This window comes from Homo sapiens, chromosome 12 (assembly GCF_000001405.40).
Source record: "Homo sapiens chromosome 12, GRCh38.p14 Primary Assembly".
Lineage (NCBI taxonomy): Eukaryota > Metazoa > Chordata > Mammalia > Primates > Hominidae > Homo > Homo sapiens.
In genome coordinates, this window is record NC_000012.12 from 5,394,288 (window position 1) to 5,421,079 (window position 26,792).

Sequence of the window (26,792 nt, forward strand, 5' to 3'; positions counted from 1 at the left end):
GTAAACTCAGTCCCTGTGAATGTGACTTTATTTACCAAAAGGGTCTTTATAGACACATTAAGGTTAAGGATGTGAGTGTGAGACCATCCTGGATTAGGATGGGCCTCAATCCATTGGCAGGTGTCCTTACGAGAGAAGAAAGAGGCAGGTCCATAAGGTATGGTCATGTGAAGACAGGGGCAGAGACTGGTGTTATGCTGCCACAAATCAAGGTGTTCCTGAAGCCACCAGAAGCTGGAAAAAGCAGAAGCAGGAAACCTTGATTTCAGACTTCTGGCTTCTAGAACTGTAAGAGAATACATTTCTGTCATTTTAAACCACTGACTTTGTGGTCATTCATTATGGAAGCCATGGGACACTAATACACTCATTAAGAAAATATGACCTATCAGCAGACAATTTCTGTATTACTAAAACACCCCAACTCTTGTCACAGAAACACACAGGTTTTGGAGTCAGAGAGACCTGGGTTTGAATCTCACCTCTACCACCTTTCAACAGAATGTCCTTGGGCAAGCTGTATAGCCTCACAGCCTCTTCTTGCCTAAAGAAAGGAGAATGTAAGACCATCCTTCCCAGGGGGTTCTGGAGAGCAGATGTGGTGAGGCCCAGAGTCTGGTTTATGGCAGGCTTTGATGAAACGCTGGTATACAGCTGGCATGCAAGAAATGCTGGCTTTCTTCACCCTCCCTCTCAACTTCCTCTTCTCTTCCCCCCTTCACAAAATGCTCTGGTGGTTCTTCCTAGAGATCTATAAAATCACATCCAAACTTTGTAACAAACGTAGAAGACCGTTCACATTTTGCCCACCACTCACCCATTTTCCTTTTGAATCAAATTTCCATCAATTTTCCTCTAAAAACCTGTACTTTAGGTACTTCCTTATCCCAGAACCAGCCTTCTACATACTAATCCTAAATCTTTAGCCCTGCTCCCCACCCATGCCCATTCGACACCCCCTGCACCTCCCTCGAGCATCCTTACTGCGTCATGTCTGTTTCTGTTAGGCCACTGAGCCATCCAGATTCAGCCACAGAGCACCAGGATTAGGATGATAAAATGATCTGTTTTCAGGGTCCTTGATCCCTTCACTCCTTCTTATGCCTTCCTTTCCTATCCCCTGACTTGCTTTTCCCCAGTATTAACTAGCTCCCAACACCCTCCCTCTCCACTCCCCACAACTCATTCACACTGTGGTATAAAACAATGGCAACAGCCTAAAATATTGCCTTCCAAAGAGGACTCAAAATCCTAAACCTAAATAATGAATTGAATGCATCATCAAACTTGGAAACACAGGGCCTTTCCAATGGCACCCAGCCATCCTGCCGTCCAGGTGTGTTTGCCCTTAGGCAGGTGAGGCAGCCCTCCCCCACCAACCAACCAGTCCCATTGTTGCTGCCTGGCTTTTATCTGCCTGACTCTGAGATTTGAACACCACTGGGTCTTGTCTCCCTGACTCCTGGTCTCCTTCCCCACCCAGCCTTCTTCCTCATGTTTCTTCCTGCTACTTCATGTTCTAATTGCTCTCGGGAGTGGGGGACCGGGGATCATCCATCTTGCTCACTGGGTATTCAATTAGAGCCGACTCAGCGCCCATCTTCTTCCCTCCGCCCTCCCTCCCTCCCCCAGATGTCGCCCTTCAGGAAGCAATATATAACACCCTCCTTCGACGGCAGCCTGCTGGCCACCCGCCATTTCCAGGCTGAGTCCCCATTAACTACGCCAAGGCAAATGAATAAATAAATCTCTAAGGAGGGAAAGAAAGAGGAAGAAGTGCCGGTTCAGAGCTAATGAAGGTCACCTCCCAGCCAGGCCTCCCATTCCCCCTTCTATGAATTGGAGCCCAGGACTGAGGAGGCAGCTTCCTCCTCAGACAAGAATCCTGCACGTGTCTGTTAGCCTGTGAATGTGTGTCCTGGGTCAGTTCCAGGAACACACCATATTATCACAGCTTTACTGTTAACTGCTTAGCTTAATTTGTTCTGCACACGTAATGACAGCTTAGGAGCAGAAAGGTACCGTGGTTCCTGTTGAGACAGACAATGCCTACTCAGATGACCAGTAAAATAATGTGCAGTATTGGTGGGGCACTGAATCAGTGGTCACTGAGGGCTTCATAGATGCGGCAGTATTACCATCGTGTCAGGGATGGGAAAACTGTCTCACCAAGATCTGAGATGATGGTGGAGCTCGATCTACTCATTCCTATTTGAATTTTCATTTATTGACAATATTTCCCAGAAAAGGGGACATACACAGCTGGGAATGTTTGGCTTTGTGCCAGAAGGTGCATGAAACCATAGTATACATGAGATACTTCTTGGATGGTCAATTTTACTTGATTATAAGTAACTTGAGATAATTTCATATTAACAATGGTAATATTATGTTAGATTGATATATGATGTAATATATTCATATACATACATATATTATGAAATAGAAAAAATGCTCATGTTAGCTTTCATGATTAAGCAGATGACATCACAGTAATTTCTAGCTTGTTTTCTCTTTAACACTGGTTCCCACGGGGACACTATCACTCTCCCCTGATTTAGCAATGGCTCTTGATAGGTGCAGTTTGAGATGCTCTGTTCCCAACATCCCCAGGTTGATCTGATGAACTGACTCTAACCAAAGGATCCACCACCTCATGTAGGATTTGTCATTGAGCCCTTGCAACATGTGAGTAGAATGTTCACCCAGAGCAGGCCCAGCCTAAATCTGTTGTCTTTTAGCCACTGTACTTGTTGAAATCTTTACTAAGCCCCTTGCTTATCACCTTGATTCATTACTTCATTTTTTTTATTAATTTGTTTTTAATTTTTGGGGGACAGAGTCTCGTTCTGTCACCCAGGCTGGAGTGCAGTGGCACGATCTTGGCTCACTGCAACCTCGGCCTCCCAGGTTCAAGCCATTCTCCTGCCTCAGCCTCCCAAGTAGCTGGAATTACAGGCATGCACCACCAAACCCAGCTAAATTTTGTATTTTTAGTAGAGTTGGGGGTTTCACCATGTTGGCCAGGCTGGTCTCGAACTCCTAACCTCAAGTGATCTGCCTGCCTTGGCCTCCCATAGTGCTGGAATTATTACAGGCATGAGCCACCGCACCCAGCCCAATCCATCACTTTAAACTGGTCCTTTTCCCTAATTCAAGCCACCATCATTTCTTCTTGAACTATTGCCAACAGATCCCTAACTTTTATTTCCTTTTCACCCTCGCATTTCCCCTATCTCCTTTCCATACATCAACAAGAAAGACCCTACTAAAATATAAATGGATGGTTTCACTCCTGAAAATGTCCCATTGCTGTGAGATAAAAATGAAACTCCTTCATACAGCCTCCAAGGCCCTAGGCGGCCTACCTCTGCCTTTCAAATATCCTCAGCTCCTCCTGGCTTCCTCCACCCACTAAGCTCCAGCTAGTCTCTCTCTTTATGATGCCTTGAACCTGCCAAGTCCCTCCTGCCCCAAGGCCTTTGCAGAGGCTGTGCCCTCTGCCTGGAGACCCCCTCCTATACTCTTTTCATGCCTCTTTTTCATATTTTATAGCATAGCTAAGAAGCTACTTCTTTTCAAAAAATATATTTTTAACATCATTTTCATAGCACTACTTTCAACTCACTGAGAAGAAATATGATCTGTACTAGTTGTGACATCTAAATTATACACAAATTTTAATAAAGGCACATTTTAAAATATTTAGTATACAAAAAAAACTCAAAAACAGTGGTTGTGAAACTTTGTTCCCTGGAGCCCTAATTCTTCTGAAAAGTCTTCCCAGATCACTCAGTTTAAAAGAAGTGCCTTTTTCAATTGTTTTTTTAGATGGATTTTTCCATATAGCAATTAGTAGTTGTGGGATTAGTATTATTATTAGCAGTAGTAGTTGTTGTTGTTAGATATTTAATGTCCAACTTCATCTCTAGTTTATAAGCTCCTTGAGGACAAAGATCATGTCTATTCTGCTCAGCATTGAATACGCAATGATTAGCCTAGGACCTGCCACCTCGAGGGTGCCAAACATTGTTTTGCTTTATGAATAAATGAGACAATGAATGAACTGTCTATAAATGCCACTTTGGATTGCACGGGTTTAGTCAGTGGGACGGCAATTCTGATTCCTTTTCTAGATGAAGTCTGTTTAACCGTGGAAGAACAGCAGTCAATGGATATTTTCTTTGTGTGAGTTTTTTAGGTTACCCAAGCTATCCTGTTAAACAGGAATTATTAGTTTTGAATTCAGATTTTAAATAATAAGTAAATATAGCGTGAAAATTAAGACTGTGGGCTTCGGAGTTAGCTAGATTGGAATATCAGTCTTGATTCTGTCACTTACTAGCTGTGTGAGCCAAGCCTCAGCTTTCCTATGCGTAAAGCAGGACTAATAATAGTACACCAGTTACAGGGTTTTTTGAGCATTAAATAAAACAGTATTCCTAAACTACTTAGCACAGCATTTGGCCTTCAGTATGTGGTCAATGAAGATACACTATTCTTATTTTTCTTATTAGGCTCAGAGCAGTACCTGTTTTTTCAACCATCGTGCTAGAGACTGCTAACTGCTCCCTAGGATTTACTTTCTTTCTTTATTTTAGTTGTATAATCAACACCACTATCCCACCACCCACTGTCAGTACACACACAAAAGTTAGCTGGACACATTCCCACATAGTTACAGACTATATTTCTCAGGATTTGCACATGGACATAGTCCACGACTCGAAGTTCTTGCCAATGGAATGTAAGAACAAGAAAGGTGCAATTTCTATGTCACTTGGTTAAAGGCAACTGCTTGTCTTCACTTCTTATTTAAAAGAGAGACTTATTCAAGACCAAGTTTCTATCATGCAGAGGAGGACAACACCTGAGGGAATGAGGGAGACACAACGTGAAAGAAATCTGGGCCCCTCTACGACCTCAAGGAGCAAAGCTGCCCTGCTCTTCTGAGCCGCTCGCCTCTGGACTGCTATAAAGTAGAGAAAACACTTTATCTTATACAAAAGATTATATCTCAGGTTGTCTTGTTATTGCAAATGCTGCAATTTTTATGGCCTCTTCTTGAGAGTCTTAGGAAAAAAACTGATTGCATCAATATTAGAATCACAATCCTCTCACTCAAATTCTCTCACACAGTATGGTGTTAAGGAATGTGTGAAAAGTGAAAAGTAGTGGCTGTTCTCTGTGATGTCAGCTTTGGAAAATGAAAATATGCATCCACTTTACTATCTCATCCTAAACCCATCAGTCAGACACCAGTCCCCACTCTATCGCAGTAACTACGAGACTTTGGCCAAGTCATTCTAATTTCTGAGTCTCAGTTTCCACATCTTTAAGAATGGGTAATGTATTACCCTGCCAACCTTATAGACCTATGAGTATCATATAAAGTAAGCAGTAAACTGGAATGTGCCATGCACTGAGGAATGCTGCTGATGCTTTTCACCTCATTCCTTGGCTCCAGTACTCAGCAACTCTGAGGGGGTCTACTCACCATGTGTCCCAGCTGGGCTGGGGTGGCCCTTCTGGTTAGAGGAATAGGCAGATGTTTGTCTCTCAGTAAAGGAGATCATCCGTGCTTTGCACACTTGCCTTTCTTCTAGCTATTTAAGCTTTTTCTGATGCAGATGCCACCCTGGAGCATACCTTACTGTGAGCTTGTGAAGTGGCTCCTAGAACATATTTTCCGGCTAAGGTAGAAGATGTTTCCTAGGGAGGACACCAGAACAGGAGAAATAAAGTCATAGAAAAAACAGTTCCTGGACCGGGAACCCAGGCCCAGCCCTGACACTGAGTCTCTCTGCTCCCATGGACCAGGCACTTTTTCTCTCCAAACCTGTAATCTAGAAAGTTTCTTTTCTAGTTCTAAAAATCTGTGATTCTAGGTACTGTGAAAACAAAAAATAAGAAAGTAAGGGTAAAGAAAATGGAGTGGAACGCTAATAGATGGGAATTCATTCATTCACTTACTCATTTATTCATTCATTCTTCCTTTGTATCTTCTAGCAAGATGTCATGGAGCCCCTATTAAATGAGAGGCGGGGACTGCTCACTCTCCCAGACAAGGGGGTGAGGAAAAAGGATCACTATTTGCTAGCACCAAGTAAAGCCCACCGTTGTCCACTGTGCAGTTAATTCGGACCAGTGCAGGTAGCCAGATGACAGACTGAGAGCTGGATTCACAGGTTCCATTCACTCATCTCTATATTTCAATGTGACCCTGAAGCAACAGAGGCTAAAATAAGAGCAATAGGAAAAATCACCCCTGTTTAAAAATAAATGATGAATACAAACCTCACACCATATTGGATTCCAAAGACCACAGAACTGCCATGCCAGAACCAAAAAGATAAGGCAGCAACATATACAGGATAGAGCTTGAACTAGAAATCTGGGTTGTTGCCCGTGATCTGTCACCAACTACAACATTGGTGTAGCTCTGATCAAGGTACCTTCCATCTCTGAGTCTTAGTCTCCTGTTCTTTAAAGTCTGGCCTGAGCTTAAACTGGATTTTCTCCAAGGCCTCTTCCAGGTCTAATGTTACATGATCGGTCGCTGATATTATTCCATAAGGTAGTATTCCCTTCTAAAAACAGCAAAACACAAATTCCTCAAAGCCAAAGGCAACACCTTTGTTTCCTTTGCATGGCTGATTAAATTAATGCAAACCAAGCAGGCTTTCACCGGAGAGCCTGGGAAATTGCCGGATATTTGGGGAAGATTACTGAGGTTAGTGCACAGTTGTCTTTGGCTAAGATGTGCAGTCCTTCAGAGTTTTCTTGGAGTTTTGATTAAGCATAAAATAGAGAAGCTCAAGCTATGTAGACTCTCTAACCAAAAATGCTTCTCAAGAAGGGCTCTTTTATCACTTGCTATAAGGGAGGTATATTTATTCTTTGAATCATTTTTTATATCTCCATTCCATTCTTTGTGGTCGCATAAAGCACACACATCTATTTACAGCCCTTCAAGGTAAGTACAATCGTCCCCCTTTTATAGATGAGGAAAACAGGACTAACAGACATGAGCTAATTGGCCCAAACTGGAAAATTGAAATCCAGGTCTTACTGATTCAAAAGCCTGAGCTTTTCCACAAAATCAATGGTTCCCAAGTAATTCATTCTAAAACTAATGCTTGAGACACATATGAATTTGGAGGAACCTTAGGAATCCCTGTATTAGCCACACAAAAGAATAGCAGGGCTTCCTGGGCCCATGGAAGAAGGTGACAAAGAATAAAGGTGGAATATAATGTCCGTGCTACATCACATATGACATGCTCTGACTTAGGACGCTTAAAATTGGGAGCCTAATTTTTGGTCTTGCTTCTCTAGCCCATTATTTCTAAAAATAACACATTTTTACTTTTCTATATTTCACAGGATATGGCAGAGTCTCCTTGAGAAAAACAAAGCAAAGATGCTTTGCAAGTAAATATATGCTGAATGAATGAATTACCACAAGTTATTCATTCTCTGTTCATTAATTAATGTTGCTTCATTCATCAGCTGCATTGTCCAATTTACTTTAGCAGACCGGCTGTCATCAACTCCAGAGAGCTTATGAAGGGTTGAGATAATTAGTCTCAATACCCTTAAGGAGAAGTGGAGGTACAGTCTTGCTCTCTTGAAGAATTGCACACTAAGAAACCACAAACCAGCATCTAAGTGAGTTATTGACTGAATATGAAATGATCAGATTGATGCATACTTAAATGTTGCAACTGCATAGATCTAGAAGGGAATGTGTTTTCCAAAGTAGATGGGATGTTCCTTTTGCCATGCTAAAGATGTAGGTCTAATCAGTCTTCTCTCTGAACTCTTAGCGAGATGGAAATTCTGCAGCAGGCTGCCTGCCGCCCGATGTGCCCAGCAGAGCCGGCTTAAAATGCAGGAAACACCTGTGGTATATTCTAAGAGGGCCCCTTCCCCTTAAAATAATCTCTTCCCCATTAGCCTCTGGCAATACTTGGCATGCTGCCATTCATTTCTTGTGCCGATAATGGTTTTTTTCCTGGAATAGGAGCGATTGACATGACAAGAACTGAGATGGGGCAGTTCTGATACAACTGACAAAGAATTAGCAGTACAGAGCATGAGACCCTGCATAAAGACAAATGTGAGTGAAGACACCCTGTCAGACAAGTGAAAGTTTGGCAGCCCATTGAGCCTGGTGTGCTATCAAGAAAAGAGTAAAGAATGGAGAATTACTTGTGTGCACACATGCATGTATGTGCACAGGGAAGGAGGCTATTTGAGAGAAGTTCCCCAGCCAGGCTGCCCAACAGAGCTTTAGGAGGGCCAGTCATTGTTACCATCTTCCCTGTGGTCTGCTCTACTTCTATATTTCCTCTTCCCCCAACCCTTTGTAGAATTTATTCAAAGCGTGTTAAATAGATCTTGGAATCGCTGAGCAAGCTAGCAAACCAGCCTCCCTAAGCAGGCAGCCTCAAATGATGGCTGGGCTGCCAGTGCTTAAACAGAACTGAAGTCAAGAGGCCTTGATTCCATTCTGGCTCTGTCAGTAGTGGGGAATGGCCTTAATTTCTCTCCAGTTCTATCATTCAGTGTTTGACCTTCTAAGTTCCCTGGGAGCATCACAATTCACTGTTTTCCCCTGTGTCTTAAAGTTGCAGACTGAGCCAGGTTGGCAGGCTCTTCAGCCACAATCAACCAAGGATGTGTACAGAGAGCTAGTCAAGGGGTGTGTGTGTGTGTGTGTGTGTGTGTGTGTGTGTGTGCATGTATGAACAGGGTGGGGGTAGGGAAGAAAAGCTTAATATCCGTCTTTCATTCATATAGTACACAAACATTTATAGAACCCTATTGGGCATCAGACACTAAGCTGGACAGTGATATCTTAAAACAAAAGCTCTGTGAATATATTTTTTAAATATCCAGGAGTATAAGTTAGAGGAGCCCACAAGATTATGCACGTGAAAATGGGATAAGGATGTAGGTGAAGGAACATTACAACAGGTAGTGTGAAACGGGAAAGTTAACCCCAGAAAACAATCTGAAAATGTTGTGGTTTGAGGAGAAAGAGAGGGAAAAGGTCACCCTGGGCATAATTTGGCTCCAAGATAAATTTTCCCTCTAGTAGAAGTTGGCTAAGAAAAAAGCAGCAGAGTCCTCACTCTTCCCCTAAAAATGGGCTGGGATCTTTACCCAAAGCACTATTATGCATTCGAACATTCTATTACTATATTTATATGGGAAAGAGAGAAAACAATTCACAGCCACCACCCGCCCCCACTCCAGTTCTTTTTCTTGCTGCTCTCCATTTGTCTTTGTTGCTGGCATATTATTTCACTAGAGAAGAATGTCCTATTTTAAGGGATAGAAGATGGTATGTGGGGTGGAGGTTATACTAATAAATTTGACATGAAAAAAGGAGACCACCTCTAACTTCTTCATGATAAAGGAAAACCAAGCCCACACTCCTGAAACTCACTGTCATCTCAACGTGATAGGGAGAACTTCAGGAGAGAAGGGAGCTCTTCAGAGGGTAGCTCAGCATATGCCAGGCTGGTGGGGATGCACAGCAATGCCTTGAACCCCCTAGGATTTTGTTAGTGCCCTACACTCTCAGGAATTTCCTAGATCTCCTCTATGGCTAGATGCCTCCTTTTACTCAGAATGTGTTACCTACATCCAACTCCCCTTGGATAATGCCAGTCCCAGATACCCTGTGTCATTGAATACACACTTATTGATTATCTTCTGTTCCAAGAAACTCCAAATGCTAAGAACTTAAAGATGAATAAAAATTTCCCTCTTGCTAGACTATTCATTTGCTAGGACAGCCGTAACAACACACTGTAGACTGTGTGACTTAGACAATAGAAATTTATTTCTCACAATTCTGCAGGGGAGAAGCCGAAGCGCAAGGTGTCAGCAGGTTTCGTCTCTTCTGAGGCCTCTCTCCTTGGCTTGCAGATGGCCTCCTTCTCGCTGTGTCCTCACGTGGCCTTTTTTCTCCATGTGCGTGCATCCGTCGTGTCTCTCTGTGAGTTCAAATTTCCTCTTCTTATAAAGACACTAATTAGACTGGATTAGGGACCATTCTAAGGGCTCATTTTAACTTAGTCACCTCTTTAAAGGCACTTTCTCCAAATGCAGTCACTTTCTGAACTACTATGGGTTAGGACTTCAACATATAAATTTGGGGGAGACACAGTTCAGCCCAGAACAGCAAGTCACCTCCCTTTACTGATGATAAAACAGGCATCTTAATCCAACTCACATGAAAAAAAGCCTCAATTTGTTTAAAGGTCCAACAAGCTGAATCACAGTTGAAGCACTTTTGGTCACACTAGGTACTTCCTACAAGTCTGATGACTTGACCTTCTCTCAGGTGTATGGGGAAACCTCTACAATTTCAGGTTCTGTAGAGGTTTAACATGCAAAGAGAATTCTAGGCAGAGGGAACAGATGAAGCAAAAGCACAGGCATGGGAAGATCCTAGTGAAAAAGTTGTGTGTGTAAGGTGTTGTCTTATGGGGGAGGGTTAGGAGAGGAGAGAAAAGGTGGGTTGGACCCGGAGTCTAAAAGGCTGGACATATGTGCTAAGGATCTGGATTTCATCCTACAGGCCTCCAGTGGCAAGTAGTCCTTTTTAAAGGCATATGATTGTAGGTGGCTGTGTGAAGAATGGACCAGAGAAGGCAGAGACTCGGGGATTCCACTTACGAAATGACTGCAGAGGTTTGGGGCATTGTGGAACAGTGAGGAAGCCACAGGGTCGGGGGTAGAGGTTGCCCTCACCGCAAAGGCTTGAGGCATCCCAAAAAGACTTCCAATGCCCTTTTAATCTCTCGGAACAGATAAATGCCAGTCAAGTCAGACTCAAGGGAAGGTCATTGGCCAGACCCTTTTTGTGAATGCCAGCACAATGCCATTGGTTTCCCTTGTATTTGAACTGAAACCATACTGAGGGAAGAAAGGAATGACATCAGAAGCTGCCGGAAGATATGCAGGGAAACTTGGTGGCCATGTTAGCTGTTGGATAATTTAATTAATTCTTAGAAAACTGAGCTATAGCTTCTCTTTCTCATTACAGTATTCTTGGAAGAAAAACATGTGCCTTCTGCTAACTGTCTGGTGTGTCCAGTTCTGAATGTCAAGACCAAGTCCTGAAAATGGGTACTGGGGACGACTTAAGAGGTGAGTCAAGGTGGGTCTCACCCACTGGATCAGAGGGGGCTTCTCCACCACTGGGAGCAAAAACCTGTCTTCTACAGATGGCAGAGCAGAGAATGTTCCCCTTTCAAGAAGGCCCACTTAACTTGATTTTTTTTCTTAAAGCTTTTCATTCCCTCACTCAGCATTTGTCAAGCACCTTGTATGTGTCAAGCTGATGATAGGCATTGATGCTACACAGATGGTTATAACCTGGTCCAGCAAAATCTCTTGCTGTCTGGTAGGGACCAGGCAAATACAAATGGATGAGTTAAAGTCCTGCATAATAGATACCTCATTGGAACTATGAACCAATGACTCCAGAGAAAGAGCCACACCTGACTGCCTGTCATCTTCTGACAGAGGATGTCATGTTGTATGCGGTGTGATCATCTACCAAGATCCTAGGACCAATTATATGGCTCATTGACCTGCACGGGTACCTGGAACTTCAGCTCAAACATTTACGATAACCAAGCATCCAAAAGCTATGAAAACACAGAACTGGCAGCCAATCCATTAAATCACTCAAACATCTATTAACTAGCAATTGTATAAAATTTGCTGGATTTGAGCACTGTAAGGGTATAGAAGGGCAAATGAAGATCAATAACAGGAGAGGAAAGAGAAGAGTAAAACAGTTAGCATCTGTTGATGGCCAGGCATCATATTAAGTATTTCATATATATTATTTAATTCTGAAAGGATCTTTTTGTAAGTTAAGAAGCTGAGGTGACATGAGTTGCTCAAGTTCACACAGACAGCAAAGGGTGAGCCATTGCAATGCAAAGCCCATGTCCAATTCCTCACTCCTTGCTACTCTAGCAAGAGTTCTGGGGGTAAGTTTTGTAAGGAGAGAAAGAAAAGAGAGAAAATCCTTGACAGTAAGTGAAGCAAAAGCCTGGATATCTGAATGGGAGGAGACACCGTTGCAGAGCCCATCCGTCCTGATTTTCCCAGAGGCACGGGAGCAGAGCACGTCCCCACCGAACCTAAGCACGCGGAAAGATGCCCACAGATTGCTGCATTTGTATTTTTACTGAGCCAGCATTGAGGAATTCCACAGACACATATGTTGTGTACATACGTGGGCTATCACTTTTTAGGTGGATGTACGTGTTAGGATTATCGAAATAAGCATCCATTTAAAAGAATGATTTGAATTTGTACCTTTCTGTCATGAAAATTCTGTTAATGGATGTAATAAAGTCAGTCACTATTCTGTGTAAAGCATGATGACATTTTTGGATCTTGGCATCAAATCAGGAAACTCATTTTAGAATAGGATATACAGGCCAAAAGACTACAGAAATCTTATGGTTTCCTCTGGCTAATCTCTATCAAGTTCTTACAAAGTGCCAAGACACTATGGGAAGAACTTTGTACATGATTTTACTTCAGCTTCACAGCAAACTCTAAAAGTAGGTAACATGGATCATCCCGATTTTACAGACGAGAAAATCAAAGATCGGAAAGATTAAGTGACTAGATCAAGGCCAGCTGTTTCTATGCACTTTAACATATTAGCTCATTTAATACTCATAACACCTCTGTGAGGTAGGTACTATTATTGTAAGCATGCTCTGCATTTTACAGACAAGGAAACAGAAACACAGAGAAACCCAAGATCACCCAGCTGCTAAGGCCTTGAGCTGCTCTTTGTCCCTGTGCTGGATTTGACCCACAGAGCCCAGCTCTTAACTACCAGCCTCTCTCATCTCTTTGATAAGCCACAGTTCTCCCCTCCTTGATGCTACCTCAGAGAGATATATGACTTCCCTGCAGAATCCATCTTCATCCTGTGGGTGTAAAAAGACCCTTGAGCACGTCCCTTGGGTAATAAAGCAGCTAGCTTCCACAGCTTTTTTTCAGCTACCGCTAAAATGCTTTTAAAGGAACTACTCAATAAATTGGGCTAATTTCAGTGGTGTTTATCATTCTAATGGGGTGGTGCTCTGGGTATAATTATGTACAAGATAAACTGTCCAGTAGAGAGAAAAAGAAACTCCTGCACTCACAGCCAAGACAGGGAGATGAAACTCTGCCCTGAGACTCATGGGGACCCTTTCATTCATTGGTTGTGAGAGACTGCAGGCTTTAAGGACCTCTGCCAATTCCATCTCTCCCTACCTCCAACACATCTGACCAGTGCAGTTCCCCGGGATTCACTTTCTCCAAATGGAATCTAGATTTCTTCCAGTGCAGTCTCAGGTTTCATTTGCTTCTGCACAGAAGCCTCTCCGTCTTTGCCTCTGTCTGCATTCCACTGAACCTCTGCTCACTCCTGCAGAACTGCTCACTGTTAAGCCACATCGCTGCATCCTTAATCTGGCCGCATGGTCTTTTGAATCTAAACACAAGACTTGAAGTTTTTGTCTTTTTCTTTCATTTTTAATTTGATATTGCTAACTTTTACTCAGCTTTACAAATCTCCAACTTCTGAATGTTATTTCTATCATTTATTATATGAACAAATATTTCCAAGAATGGAGAAATCTACAAGTTTGGAAAGCATGAACTCTTGTCTTCTTCCAAGTCATTGATGAAAAGTGTGGAACGTGGATGCAGCTCTCTGTAAATTTCCCTTGTGACCTGACTACAGGTTGACTTCAACCTACTGAGACAGTCAAATTCCCTATTGGCCAGTCCAGCTTCTGTGACATGTTTTCAGTGAATGCTTCCCAGACCCTAGAGACCGTCACTTTCCAGTCTAAAAATTCAGAATCACCAATTCAATGATCTATTCTAAAATATAGACATAAATTAGTAGTGTTTGTAACTTTTTCTCATTATAAATGGCCTCAGCATATTTAAATATTTTATAGATACTAGATATTCTAATATTCAAATGCTTTATAATATTCTAGAATATTAAATAATATTTAATATTGAATTCTAGAATATTCCATTTAATCTATAGTATCCCAAAGTCATCTTTCTCTCCTGTTTTGGAAACTAAAACATTTGGCCATATCCAATATTTAATCCATTTTTCATGATATTTCAAAGATTATAAACAATTGTCTAAGATCATAAATGATAATTCACTTAGTGGTTCAGCAGAGCCAGGAGGTTTGAATTTAGAAAGTGCCTCGTGTCCTCTTGACTCCGCCTATTCTCCCATGGAGGCCACAAGTAGAAAAATTTGGAATCTATTTATTGCACCATAGACACACCCGTGAAAACCCCCCTCACTATCTGTTTGTCAAGAGATCAGAAAGTTCTAGCTATTCACTCAAGATCACAGGACAAAGAACAGGAAAGATGTCTCCTGAGGTCAGCTGGCAATATCATGTAGTCACGGCATGTCTCCAACACATTCTTCATCTCAGAACCTGAAACCGACTGGCAAATGAAAAAGGACTGTAAGATTTTAGAACCTGAAGGAATTCAGAGATTATCTAGATAGCACCTTCATCTTGCTGATAAAAAAATGAATCTCACACAAGGAAAGTGGCTTAATGAGTATTACATGTTGTATCCATGATGGAGACAATTTTAAAACCTCTGTCTTCTGACCCTAGTCCTGGGCTCTTTCCATTTTACTGGATTACTTTTCTAAACCCTGAATGGCATATCAGATGAAACAGTTATCAATGGTGCAACGGATTTGGGCTAAACAATAACACAATTTTGAACAATTTTCTTCAAGAGCACTATTTAAGTAAGGAACCAGAAATAGAAGAAAACACAATTCTCATAGATATTGCTTAGAACGGTCCCTATACCCTCCTCTCTGACATTCCCTTCACCCATCCTAGTTCTTCAACATAGTAATAACTGCAATTCGTGAAGCACTCATTTTATGGCAGGTGCTGTTTCAAAGTACTTTAACATACTAATTCATTCAATACTCACAAAACCTTATAAAACAGGTACTAGTATTATCATTGTCATATTTATTTTATAGATGTGTAAACAGAGTCACAGAAGAGTTCAGTAATTCCTCTAAATTTGTATAGCTGCTAAAGTGATTTGAACCCAAAGTAGCACTCCAGAATTTGTGTTCTTCACTGTTAGGCAAAACTCTCTCTCCTGCTCACATATGGCTCTTGGGGGACATCATCCAGACAGGCATCTCTAATCAGGATAACCACCTCTTTACAACAGCCTGTACCTTCCTTTCCTGCCCTAGTCAATCTGATAAACTGATATGTGTTAATGAGCACAAATGAGCTACCCGTATGAGTTGATATCTTTTTATCAGGGGACTTCTGGAGACAATGCCTTTGCATGAACTTAATTCAACAAACATTTTTCAACTACAGGCTCCATAAAGGATATATTAAAGATGTTCTCAAGAAAGTCAACTTTGCCCTTCCCATCACATGATGATATCATCTGCCTGGTGTGTGGTGAATAATTAATTACACTGTGCCTGAGACACACAATATACCTTGAGGTCACCTCTTCCCTCCTAATCCTTCAGCTGAAGCAATTAAATATTAAGACATTGCAGAGCTCATAGCTTTGTGGTGCCCACATTGCAGGCACACTACCAAGGGCCTCACAACTTTTATCCTATTTAATCATCACAGCAATTTATTTTACAGATGAGGAAACATCGGCTCAGAGAAGCAATTACATGCTATTAAAGATCTTGCCCAAGATCTCCAGCTGGAAACTGGCTTAAAAATGTTAAGATTCAACACAAGTTTGTTTGGTTCTATAGCCGTTGTTTTCCTTTTTTTTCCTCTTTTTTTTTTTTAAATCATCCTATGTTCTCTCACATCTATTAGCCCATTTCAGGATAGAGGTCATCCAAGAGGGAGTGTGGGAGGTATTTTGTGGGAGCAGGATGGGGTTATACGCTAAAGTCACCAAGCTTTATTGGAAATCAACTGGAATGAAGGCTAGATTTAGAGATGGGAGACATGTAACATTATTTGAAACTTCTCCTGCTTGTGAAGTTAGAGGGTTTGGACAAGATGCTTTCTAAACTGTGATATGGCCCTAAGGGCAACATGTGAGGAGCAGGAGATAACTAGAGTCAGGACAGGCTCTCTTTGTCCCCAGCCTAACTGGACACCAAAAAGATGCAGAAAAAAACATGGGCTATGTAGAACATAAGTTGCTAGAAGGTCAATATTTCCCAAATGTTTGATTTTTGCAAACCACTTAGTGATTTTCCCAAATATGCATATCTCTGGGAAAATAGGCATCTTTCTGGGCTATGCAGAGCATAACTTGCTAGAAGTCCGATATTTCCCAAACTTATGTCCTTTGCAAACCACATAGTGGTTTTCCCAGATATACATATCTCCCGTTTTACTTAATTAAAGGAACATTTTCTTTTATTAACAAATTATTGAAGTCTAATAGTCATGCAGAGAGGTACCCCAATCACAAATGTATTACTTGGTAAATCTTCAAAAAGTAAACATTCCTATGTAACTATCACCCAGATCAAGAAATGAGTACCAGTACCTGAGAAGTCCTTATTCTACCTCCCTCTAAACACCTCTTTTCTCCTCTTCAAAGGTAATCACTGTCATAACTTCAAAAACCACAGACTAGTTTGGCTTCTTATAGAAATTTATTAAAAATGAAATTGTATATATGTATATCTTTGCATGCATATATATATATATATACACACATACTTGTATGTATACATATTTCTGTTTTTAATATGTGTATATATGCATGTGTGTATATGTACATGTATATATGTGTGTTTGTATATACACACACATATATACACACACACATAGATATGTATTATATATAATATAGGGTCTCACTATGTGGTGCAGGCTGGAGTGCAGTGGCCACCGTAATCATAGTGCACTGTAGCCTCAAAGCCCTGGCCTCAAATGATCGCCCTACCTCAGCTTCCTGAGTAGCTAGGACTACAGGCATGTGCCACCACACCTGGCTTTTTGAAGTTAGATATTATGTAATCTTTTGTGCCTGGCTTTTGTGTTTCAACATATTGGTAGTCAGATTTATCTAAGTTTGTTGCATGCAGCAGTAATTCATTAACTCATTTGCTGTAGAGTATTCCATTGTATGAATACACTGCAATGTATTCATTCATTCTACAGTTGAGAGCATTTAGATTGTTTCCAAAATACTGCTACTACAAACATTTTTTGCATATTTTTTGTGTGGAAGTATAACATATTTCTGTTGAGAATATATTTTGGAAGGGATTGCTGTGTCAAAGATAAGTGTATGTTCAGCTTTAATAAATACTGATAAAATAGTTTTCTAAAATGCTGTGCCAATTTATATTCACACCAGTAGTGCATGACAGTTCCAGTTGCTCTACATCTTTATCAACACTTGCTATTGTCAGTCTTTTTATTTTTAGCCATTCTGATTTGGGTGCAAGTGTATTGCATTGTAGTTTTAATTTGCATTCCCATTTTGGCTATTGAGGTAGAGCAGCTTTATATTTAGATAATTCTATTTAGTGAAGTGCTGGTTCAAGTCTTTTGCCCACCCCCTTTTTTTTTGCTGGATCATCTTACTTTTTTCTGATTTATTTGTAGTAGTTATTTATATGCTCTGGACACAAGCCCTTGGTTTATAACATGTATTGCAAATAGCTTCTCTCACTTTGGGAATTACTCTTTCACTTTCTTAATGGTAGGTACCTTTATATAAACATTTTTAAGTTAATACAGTCCAGTTTGTCAATCTTTTTATGTTTAGTGCTTTCCTTTTATCCTAAGAAATATTCTCTTATCTCAGGGTCATAAGTAAATTTTCCCAATATGTTATATATGCTTTATTATTTTACCTCTTACATTTAGGTTTACCATTCACCTGTAGTTAGTTTCTGTATATAGGGTGAGGTAGGAGCAAGATTCATATTTTTTCACGTGGGATATATACTTTACTCAACCCAATTTAGTTTAAAAATGTATCCTTTCCCCTTTCTCTGCAGAGTCATAAGTGCCCACATACTATGTGTTTGCTCTGGATTCCTTACACTGGTCCATTAGTCTATTAGCCTATTCTTGTGCAAATGCCACAGTCTCAATCAATGTAGCTTCATATTGATTCAGAATATCGGGTAGTGAAAGTCACATAACTTTGCTATTTTACAAGATCGACTTGGCTTAACTTGGTGGTTTTCAGAATAAATTTAATAGTATAAATTTTAGAATCGGCTCATCAATTTCATACCTCAATGCACATACACATACAAAAACCTTCCTGTGATTTTTGTTTGGCATTGTAATGAATGCATAAATCAGTTTGGGAAGAACTGACGTATTTAAGATATTGAGTCTTCCAATTTATGAACATGTTGTATCTCTTATTTATCTTCTTTGATTTCTTTAAATAATACTTTGTACTCTTCCAGGTAGAGGTGCTGTACTTCCTTTATTAAAATTATTCTTAGATACAAAATGTTTTTATTCTGTTGAAATGGCATATTTTTAGATTTAATTTTCTAATCATTTGCTGCTAATAAATAAAGCTGATTTTTGTGTGATTACTTTGTATGCAGTGATCTTACTAAATTCACTCTCTAAATACATTATCAGGAGATTCTTTTGACAGCTTTATATCCATGAATAATGGCAAGATTATTTCTTCCTTTTCAACCAATTTATCATATAGGTTGGTGCAAAAGTAATTGCGGGTTTTGCCATTATTTTTAATTACTTTTGCACCAACTAATATTTCATTTATTTTGCCTTTTCATCCTGACTAGGATCTCTAGGTTAGCCGATGTCCTTGTCTTGTTACCATTCTCAAGACAAAAGCTCCCAATACTTCATCTTTAAGTAAGATGTTTGCTGTAGGTTTGTAGGTGTTGTGTGGGAGGTGGTATGTATGTGTGTGTGTGTGTGTGTGTGTGTGTGTGTGTGTGTGTGAGTAGATACACTTTATCAGACTTGGGAGACTTTTTTCTGTTTTTAATTTGCTGAGTTTGCTAGTTTTATGATGAATGAGAATTTAATTTCACCAAATAATTTTTCTGCATCTATTAAGATGATCATATGCTTGCTTTCTTTTGTGCTCTTCATGTGCTGAATTAAACTGATTTTTTCAATGTTCAATCAATCATGCATTTCTGGAATAAACACAAATTGAACGTTATTTTATTCTTTCTTGTGTCTCGGATTTTGCCTACTAATAATGAAAAATTTTGCAACTACATTTATAAGAGAGACTGGTATGTAATTTTCTCTTCTTGTATGTTTTACAGGTTTTAGCTTCATAAATAATTTGGAATGTATTCCCTCATTTTATTCCCTAATAGACTGTGTGTAAGGCTGATGTTATTTCTTCATTAAATACTTATAAGAATTCATTGGGGAAGTTATCTAGGCTAGGGAATTTATTTCAAGAGGATTTTAATTACAGACTCAATTTCCTTAAAAGTAATTTATGTCATTTTTAAGAATTAATGGTTGTTTTCTAGGAATTTGTACACTTTATACACATTTTTAAATATGATATAATTTTGTTCCCAGTATCCTTTTATATATCCTTATTTAAAGTCTTTAGGATCTGTGATTCCCCTTTTTTTATTCCTGATATTGTTAATTTGTGCCTTCTATATTTTTATTGATTAGCATTGCCAAGATCAATTATGTTTAATATCAATTATATTAGTCATTTATAAAGACATCTGAAAAATGTTAAAATTTGTGAATTCCTCTATGCTGTTTGTTTTCTCTTTCATTAATTTCTGCTCTTCTGTGCAGTGTTTTCTTACTGTTGTTTTCTTTGCATTCAATAAGTTCTTTATTTGCTAAATTTTTTGTGTGTGATGAGGACAGACTCTTGCTCTATTGCCCAGACTGGAATGCTGTGACATGATCATCACTCACTGCAACCTTGAACTCCTGAGTCCAAGCAATCCTCCCACCTCAGCCTCCCAAAGTGCTAGGATTACACTGTGCCTGGCCAATTTGCTAACTTTTTGAGATGGTATTTAGTTAAATAATTTTTAGCTTTTATTTTTTTCTAATATATACATTCAAGGACATACCATTTTCTTTAATCATGGTTTTAGTTGTATGTCACAAGTTTTTTTATATCATATTTCATTATCACCCAGTATGAAATGTTATTTACCTTGTAATTCTTTAACTTATGCATTATATAAAAATGTATTGCTTAATATCCAAACACTTAGGAATTTGATTGCTTAGTTTAACTCAACTGTAGTCAAATTAAATATTTTATATGATTTTAAACTGTAGAAAAGTTTTGATGCTTGCTTTATGAACCAGTCTGCGGTCAGTTCTATTAATTGTCACTTGTGCACTTGAAAATGATTGTGAGATTCTATATTAGTCAGCTTGGGCTGCCATAACAAAGTACCATAGACTGGGTGGCTTAAGAAACAGAAATTTATTTTCTCACAGTTCTGGAGACTCAAAGTCTCAGATCAGGGTGCCAGCATGGTCAGGTTTTGGGGAGAGTGTTCTTGTTTGCTCACATAGCCGAGAGACAGAGCGAGAGTGAGACAGCAAGAGAGAGCGAGAGTGAGAGAGCGAGCAAGAGAGAGAGGAGTGCAAGGTCTCTGTTGTCTCTTCTTACAAGGGCACTAATACCGTTCCAAGGGCCCCCCCTCATAAGGTCATCTAAACATAATGTCTCCATCAGTCCACTTTTTGCTGCTAGAACAAAATATCACAGACTTGGTAATTTATGTAGACAAGAAGTTAATTTGGTTTATGATTCTGGAAGCTTGGAAATCCAAGAGCAGGCACCAGTATCTGGTGAGGATCATTCCATGGCAGAAAAGCAACACCTAGCAAGCAAGCCTAAGTTATCTTTTCATCAGAAATCCATTCCTGTGATAACTATTTCACTCCCAGGATAACAGCATTAATCCACCCCTGAGGGAGGAGCTCTCATGAGCTATTCACCTTTTAATGGATCCACTTCCCAATACTATTACAATGGCAATTAAATATCAACGTGAGTTTTGGTGGGAAAATTCAAACCCTAGCCCCTAATTAACTCCCAAAGGCCTCATCTCCAAGTACCATCACATTGGGTGTTAGGAATTCAACATATGAATTTGAGGGCACCTTAGGTTAGTCCATAGAAGTTGCAGTATTTTAAATATTTGTCATCAATAAGTTCAACTTTATTTATCATATTGTACAAATATTTTATAATGTTATTAATTTTTTTCTACTTGATCTGTTAGTTACAGAGAAGTGTATATTAAAATCCCCCACTATCATTAGGGATTTTCCTATTCTTGAATGTGTGTCTATTATATCATATATGTAAAACATATGCATGTTACTAGGTAGATGCATATTTAGATTTTAAGTGTATTGAAACTTATTGTTATTAAATAGTCTTCATTTCTAGTAATGAGATTTGTCTTACTATTGATTTTACCTGTTATCAGTATAGTTGTACCACCTTTTTAAATTTATGTTTTAATGGTATATGTTTTACAAACCTCTTGCCTTCAACCTTTCTTTATGTAATGACCATGTAGTAGTCTTTTTAAAAACTCAGTTTGTATGCTTTAATTGAGTTATTTAATTACTTTATTTCTTTATATTTATTCATTAATATATACATAACTAATATGTTTGGGTTTAATTCTCTACTACTTTATTATTGATTTTGTATGTGCTTCATCTGTACCATATTCAATTCTCACTCTTTTCTGGCCTTCTGTGGAATTAATTAATATTTTCTCATCTCCCACATTAGCATCTTAAATAAACATTCTTTTACCATTTATTTTGTGGTTATCACAGAGACTACAACATGCTACCTTGAATTTTTTAAGTCTACTATATATTAGTATTTTTATTACTTCCCAAAGAATGAAAGGTCCTTAGACTCCTTTTCCTACTTACAAATTACTGCCTTTTGTGCTATTTCTGTCATTAATTAATTCTACAATATATTTAGTGATTTTGTAAAGTTAATATTCATGCATATTTGCCACATATTTAACCTTTCTGTTGCTTTCTGTTGCTTTATTTCTCATTTCCATACTTTTATATTAAATTATTTTTCTTATGCAGGAATAACTCTTTGTAATATTTCCTTTAGTGCACATCTTCCAATAAAAGTTACCTCAAATTTTAATGATCTGAAAATAACTTTATTTGAGATATTTTTAAAGAACATTTTACTGGATGAAGAATTTGAAATTAACAGTTATTTTCTTTTGCACTTTGACATTCTCTTGTCTTTTGACTTCCACAATTTCTGTTAAAAAGTCATTAGTCTTGTTGCAATTGAAAGTAATGTGTTTTTTCCCCTCTGGTAATTTTTTTTTTGGTTTTGTCTTTATTTTCAGCAGATTTATTGTGACTCATCAGATTTAGTGTGGTTTTCTATCTATTTATCCTGTTTCAGGCATGCTGAGCTTCTTGAAAATCTGGGTTAGTATCTTTCATCAATTTTCAAAAATTCTTCACATTATCTCTTCACTGATTGCTACTCATTATTCGCTCCCTTTTTTCCTGGAATGCTAATTATATATGTATTATAACTTTTTTATGTATCATATGTCTCACATTCTTTTATGCATTTTCCATTATTTTTCACTCCACATTTCTGCCTAGATATTTTCTACTAATCTATCTTCCGGCCTAGTAATCTCTTCAGTTGCATTTAACCTGAATTCTTAAGTTTGTTGTAGGTTTTTAGTTCTAACATTTACATTTGAGTCTTTTAAATATATTGTTAGTCTTTCATGAAATTATTCCTTTTGCTATGTATATATTGAACATAGTGATTAGTTATTTAAAAGTCTGTGTCTAATAACTTCAATATATGGATATTCTTGGATTTTCTTTCTATTGTCTGATTTTTTTCATTTGTTTCTCAATCATTTGGACATATTTCCTCATAATTTATTATTGAATGATGGAGATACTGTATGGAGCATTGTACAAATAACTTGATGCATGGTATACTCTTTCTTCATCTTTCCTTTTCTTCTGTCAGGCTAAGAAAAAATCATCTTAAACCTATTGATTGAGTTGATTGAAAAATTTTTTTTATTATTGCAAAAGTGATTCTATTTTTGGTTCTCTCTTACTCCTAAGAAGTAGCCATTTGATTGTTTGCAGCCAAACAATCCAAATGGAAAGCCCTTCTCCTTCAGTGAATCTTGAGATCCAATTTTTGTCTCTGAAGCCTGGAAAGATTACTAAAAGTTCATCTCCATTTTTTATCCTCTCAGCTTCCACTTACAAATCAGCATATGCCTCAATAGGAACATGGAGCTGAAGATCAGTCTCACTCCTCTGTACTTCCCTTTTTCTCTGGGATCTTATCCTCACTTATTCATGCTGCTATGGATGAATTACTTCAAAAGTATGTTTTCCTTTTTACTCACCATTTTATTATGGGAACTTTCAGATATAAAAAATAGGTTAAAGTGTGTTACAGTGAACAGCCTTATACCCACAGATCAGATTCTATAATTTAAATTTCATCCTGATTGACTTATTATATGTCTCTCCCTCTATCTGTCCCTCTGTCCATCTGTCAATTAATCTTACTTTTTGATGAATTTCAAAATACATTAAGGATATGAGGACATTCCCTTTTAAATCTTTCAGCCTGCATTTCATTAACTAGTGTTTTACATTGTTTTACAAATATTTTTCATTAGATATAAAATTTAAATAAACAATTTGCATGAATCTTAAATGAACATAGACAGACAAGGGTATACGCTGTACAATCCAAGCCTCTATCATTCCAGGAAGTCCCCTAGTGCTTCTTTCCCATTATTCCTCACTCCTGCCCCATCCCCACAGAGGCAACTGTTATTATAATTTTTTGTACAATAGGTTAGTTTTGCCTGTTGTAAAACTTCATAAAATGGAATCACATAAAATGTATAATTTTTTGTAAGTCTTCTTGAACTCAACATAACATTTTTGAAGTTCATCCATAGTACTCTGTGTATCCATAGTTTATTCCTATTTCATTCTAAGGAATATTCTATTATACAAATACACGACAGCTTGTTTACTCATTCTCCTTTGAGGGATACCTGAGATATTTGTATCCTTTGCCCTGTTTCTGATCTTAGGGGCAATGAATTCAACATTTCACTAGTAAATATTATGTCAGTTTTATGGATGCTTTTTATCAGATTGCACCTTTTATCAGATTGTGGAAGTTCCCTTTGCATCCTGCTTTGCTGTGTGTGTGTGTGTGTGTGTGTGTGTGTGTGTGTGTGTTTATCATGAATAGGTACTGAATATTATCAAATGCTTCTCCTGAATCTATTGAAAAGATTTTTCACCCTTATCCTATCAATACGGTGAACTACATTGATTGATTTTCAATGTTAACTGACTGCATTGCTGGGATAAACCCAACTTGGTCCATATATATATATATATATATATATATATATATATATATATTCTATTCATGATATTCATGAATATTTTGTGATACAGTTCAATTGTGTCCCCTCCCAAATCTCATCTTGAATTGTAGCTTCCATAATTCCTATATGTGGTGGGAGGGACCTAGTGGGAGGTAATTGAATCATGGAGGTGGGATTTTCTCATGCTGTTCCCATGATAGTGAATAAGTCTCACGAGATCTGATGGTTTTATAAATGGGAGTTCCCCTGCACATGCTCTCATGCCTGTTGCCATGTAAGACGTGACTATGCTCCTCATTCGACTTCCACCATGATTGTGAGGCCTCCCCAGCCATGTGGAACTGTGAGTCAATTAAACCCCTTTCCTTTATAAATTACCCAGTCAGTCTCAGGTATGTCTTTATTAGCATTGTGAGAACAGACAAATATAGAATTTCAGCATTTGTTTATAAAGATGTTGGTCTGCAACTTTATTTTTCACTTATTTTTCTTAAGGAGAGTAATGTCTTTGTCTCTTTGCCAGGTTTTGGTATTAGGATTATACTCGCCACATATAACAACATGGGAGTTGTTTCAAGACTGATGCTATTTCTTCCTTAAATTTTTGGCAGAATTCAACAGTGAAAACATCTTTTTCTACTGTTTAATTAATGGGAAAGTTTTTGATGATAAATTAATTTTTTCTAATAGATAAAGGCTATTCAGATTTTCTACTTGATCATGCATAAGTGTAAGTTGTATTTTTCAAATTATGCTTCCATTCCACCTAATTTGTCAAATTTATTGCCTGAAATTTTTCATGGAAGTCCCGTTTTCCTTTTAACCTCTGTAGGATCTGAGGTTTTAGATCTTTTATTGCTAAGTTTTTTCTCCTTCATATTTGTAGACCAGTCTAGCTAGGAGACTATCAATTTTGTTGATCTATCTAAAGAACAAATTTTAGTTCCTATTTTCTATTTCATTAATTTCATCTTTGTTATTTCTTTGCTCTACTTGATTTGGTTTGCTCTGTTCTTTTCTATTTATAAGCATTGAAAGCTAAAACTTTTCCTCTAAGCACTGCTTTAGCTGGATCACATAGATTTTTCTTTTCTTTTTTTGTGGAGACAGGGTCTCACTACATGGCCCAGGCTGGTCTTGAACTCTGACCTCAAGCAGTCATCCCACCTCGACCTCTCAAAGCTCTAGGATTACAGGCATGAGCTACCATGCTTCACCTGAATCCCATAGATTTAGCTATATTGTATTTTCATTTTCATACAGGTCAGGATATTTTCTAATTTCCTATGTGAATTCTTCTTTCACCTATGTAATGCCTACATGTGTTGTTTAATTTCCAATTACGTTGGGATTTCCAGATCTCTTGTTCTCATTGGTAAGTAATTTAACTCCATTGTAGTCAGAGAATATACTCTGTGTGATTTCATTTTTTCAATGTACTGGGGCTTGTTTTGTGGCCCAGCATATGGTCTATCTTGGTAAATATATACCAGGGGTCCTTGATAATAAAGTGTATGCCACATTTAATTACTATTCTACAAATAGTGATTAAGTCAAGGTGGTCAATAGTGTTGTCTTTACCTTAACTGATATTTTGATCATTTTTTTCTACTAACTTCTTAAAGAGAGCTATTAAAATGTCAAGCTTTATTGTAAATTGTCTACTTCTCCTTCTATATCTGTAAGTTTTTGTTCTCTCATGTGGTACCAACTGTGGTCTGCCCTCAAGCTAAAAAATATTTTTAAAGCAATAAAATCATCTCTATACCCCTCCCTGTTTTGAAAAGCCAACTCCCCTCCAGAACCTGCCTGCATTTGTTCACTTTTGGGCCCCAGCATATAGTTTTTCTTTGAAAGTTTTGTTTTGGTCTAGAAGAGCTCACTCAGCTGTACTATAAGTGGAACCTTCGCATGGTTTTTAAAGATATTGTTTCCAGGCTGAGCATGATGACTCACACCTGCAATCCCAGCACTTTGGGAGGCTGAGGGGCATATTACTTGAGCTCATGAGTTCAAGAGCAGCCTGAAAAATATGGAAATACAAAAAAATTAGCTGGATGCGGTGGCATGCACCTGGGGAACCAGCTACTCAGGAGGCTGAAGTGGGAGGATCACTTGAGCCCAGGAGGTTGAGGATGCAGAGAGCCACGATTGCACCACTGCACTCCAGCCTGGGTGACACAGGGAGACCCTGTCTCAAAAAAATTTTTTTCCAGCTTTTTAAGGCGTTTCTGTTGGAAGAATTGATATATTACAAATTGGCCTGTATAACCATAAGTAAGAATCCCTAATAAAT

At 38.5% G+C, this 26,792-nt stretch overlaps 1 long non-coding RNA gene across 2 annotated transcripts; it reads left to right on the plus strand.

Moving 5' to 3' along the window:
• The first annotated feature begins 300 nt into the window (after window positions 1–300).
• On the plus strand, window positions 301–18,634 carry LOC105369618 (uncharacterized). 2 transcript variants are annotated; one of them, XR_931581.3, is made up of 4 exons: window positions 301–8,122; window positions 9,875–10,012; window positions 11,066–11,169; window positions 12,781–12,985. It is a non-coding gene; the product is annotated as an uncharacterized LOC105369618 (long non-coding RNA). The 2 variants fall into 2 exon arrangements; XR_001748971.3 differs by having other exon boundaries at window positions 11,066–18,634.
• Window positions 18,635–26,792: the final 8,158 nt, after the last annotated feature.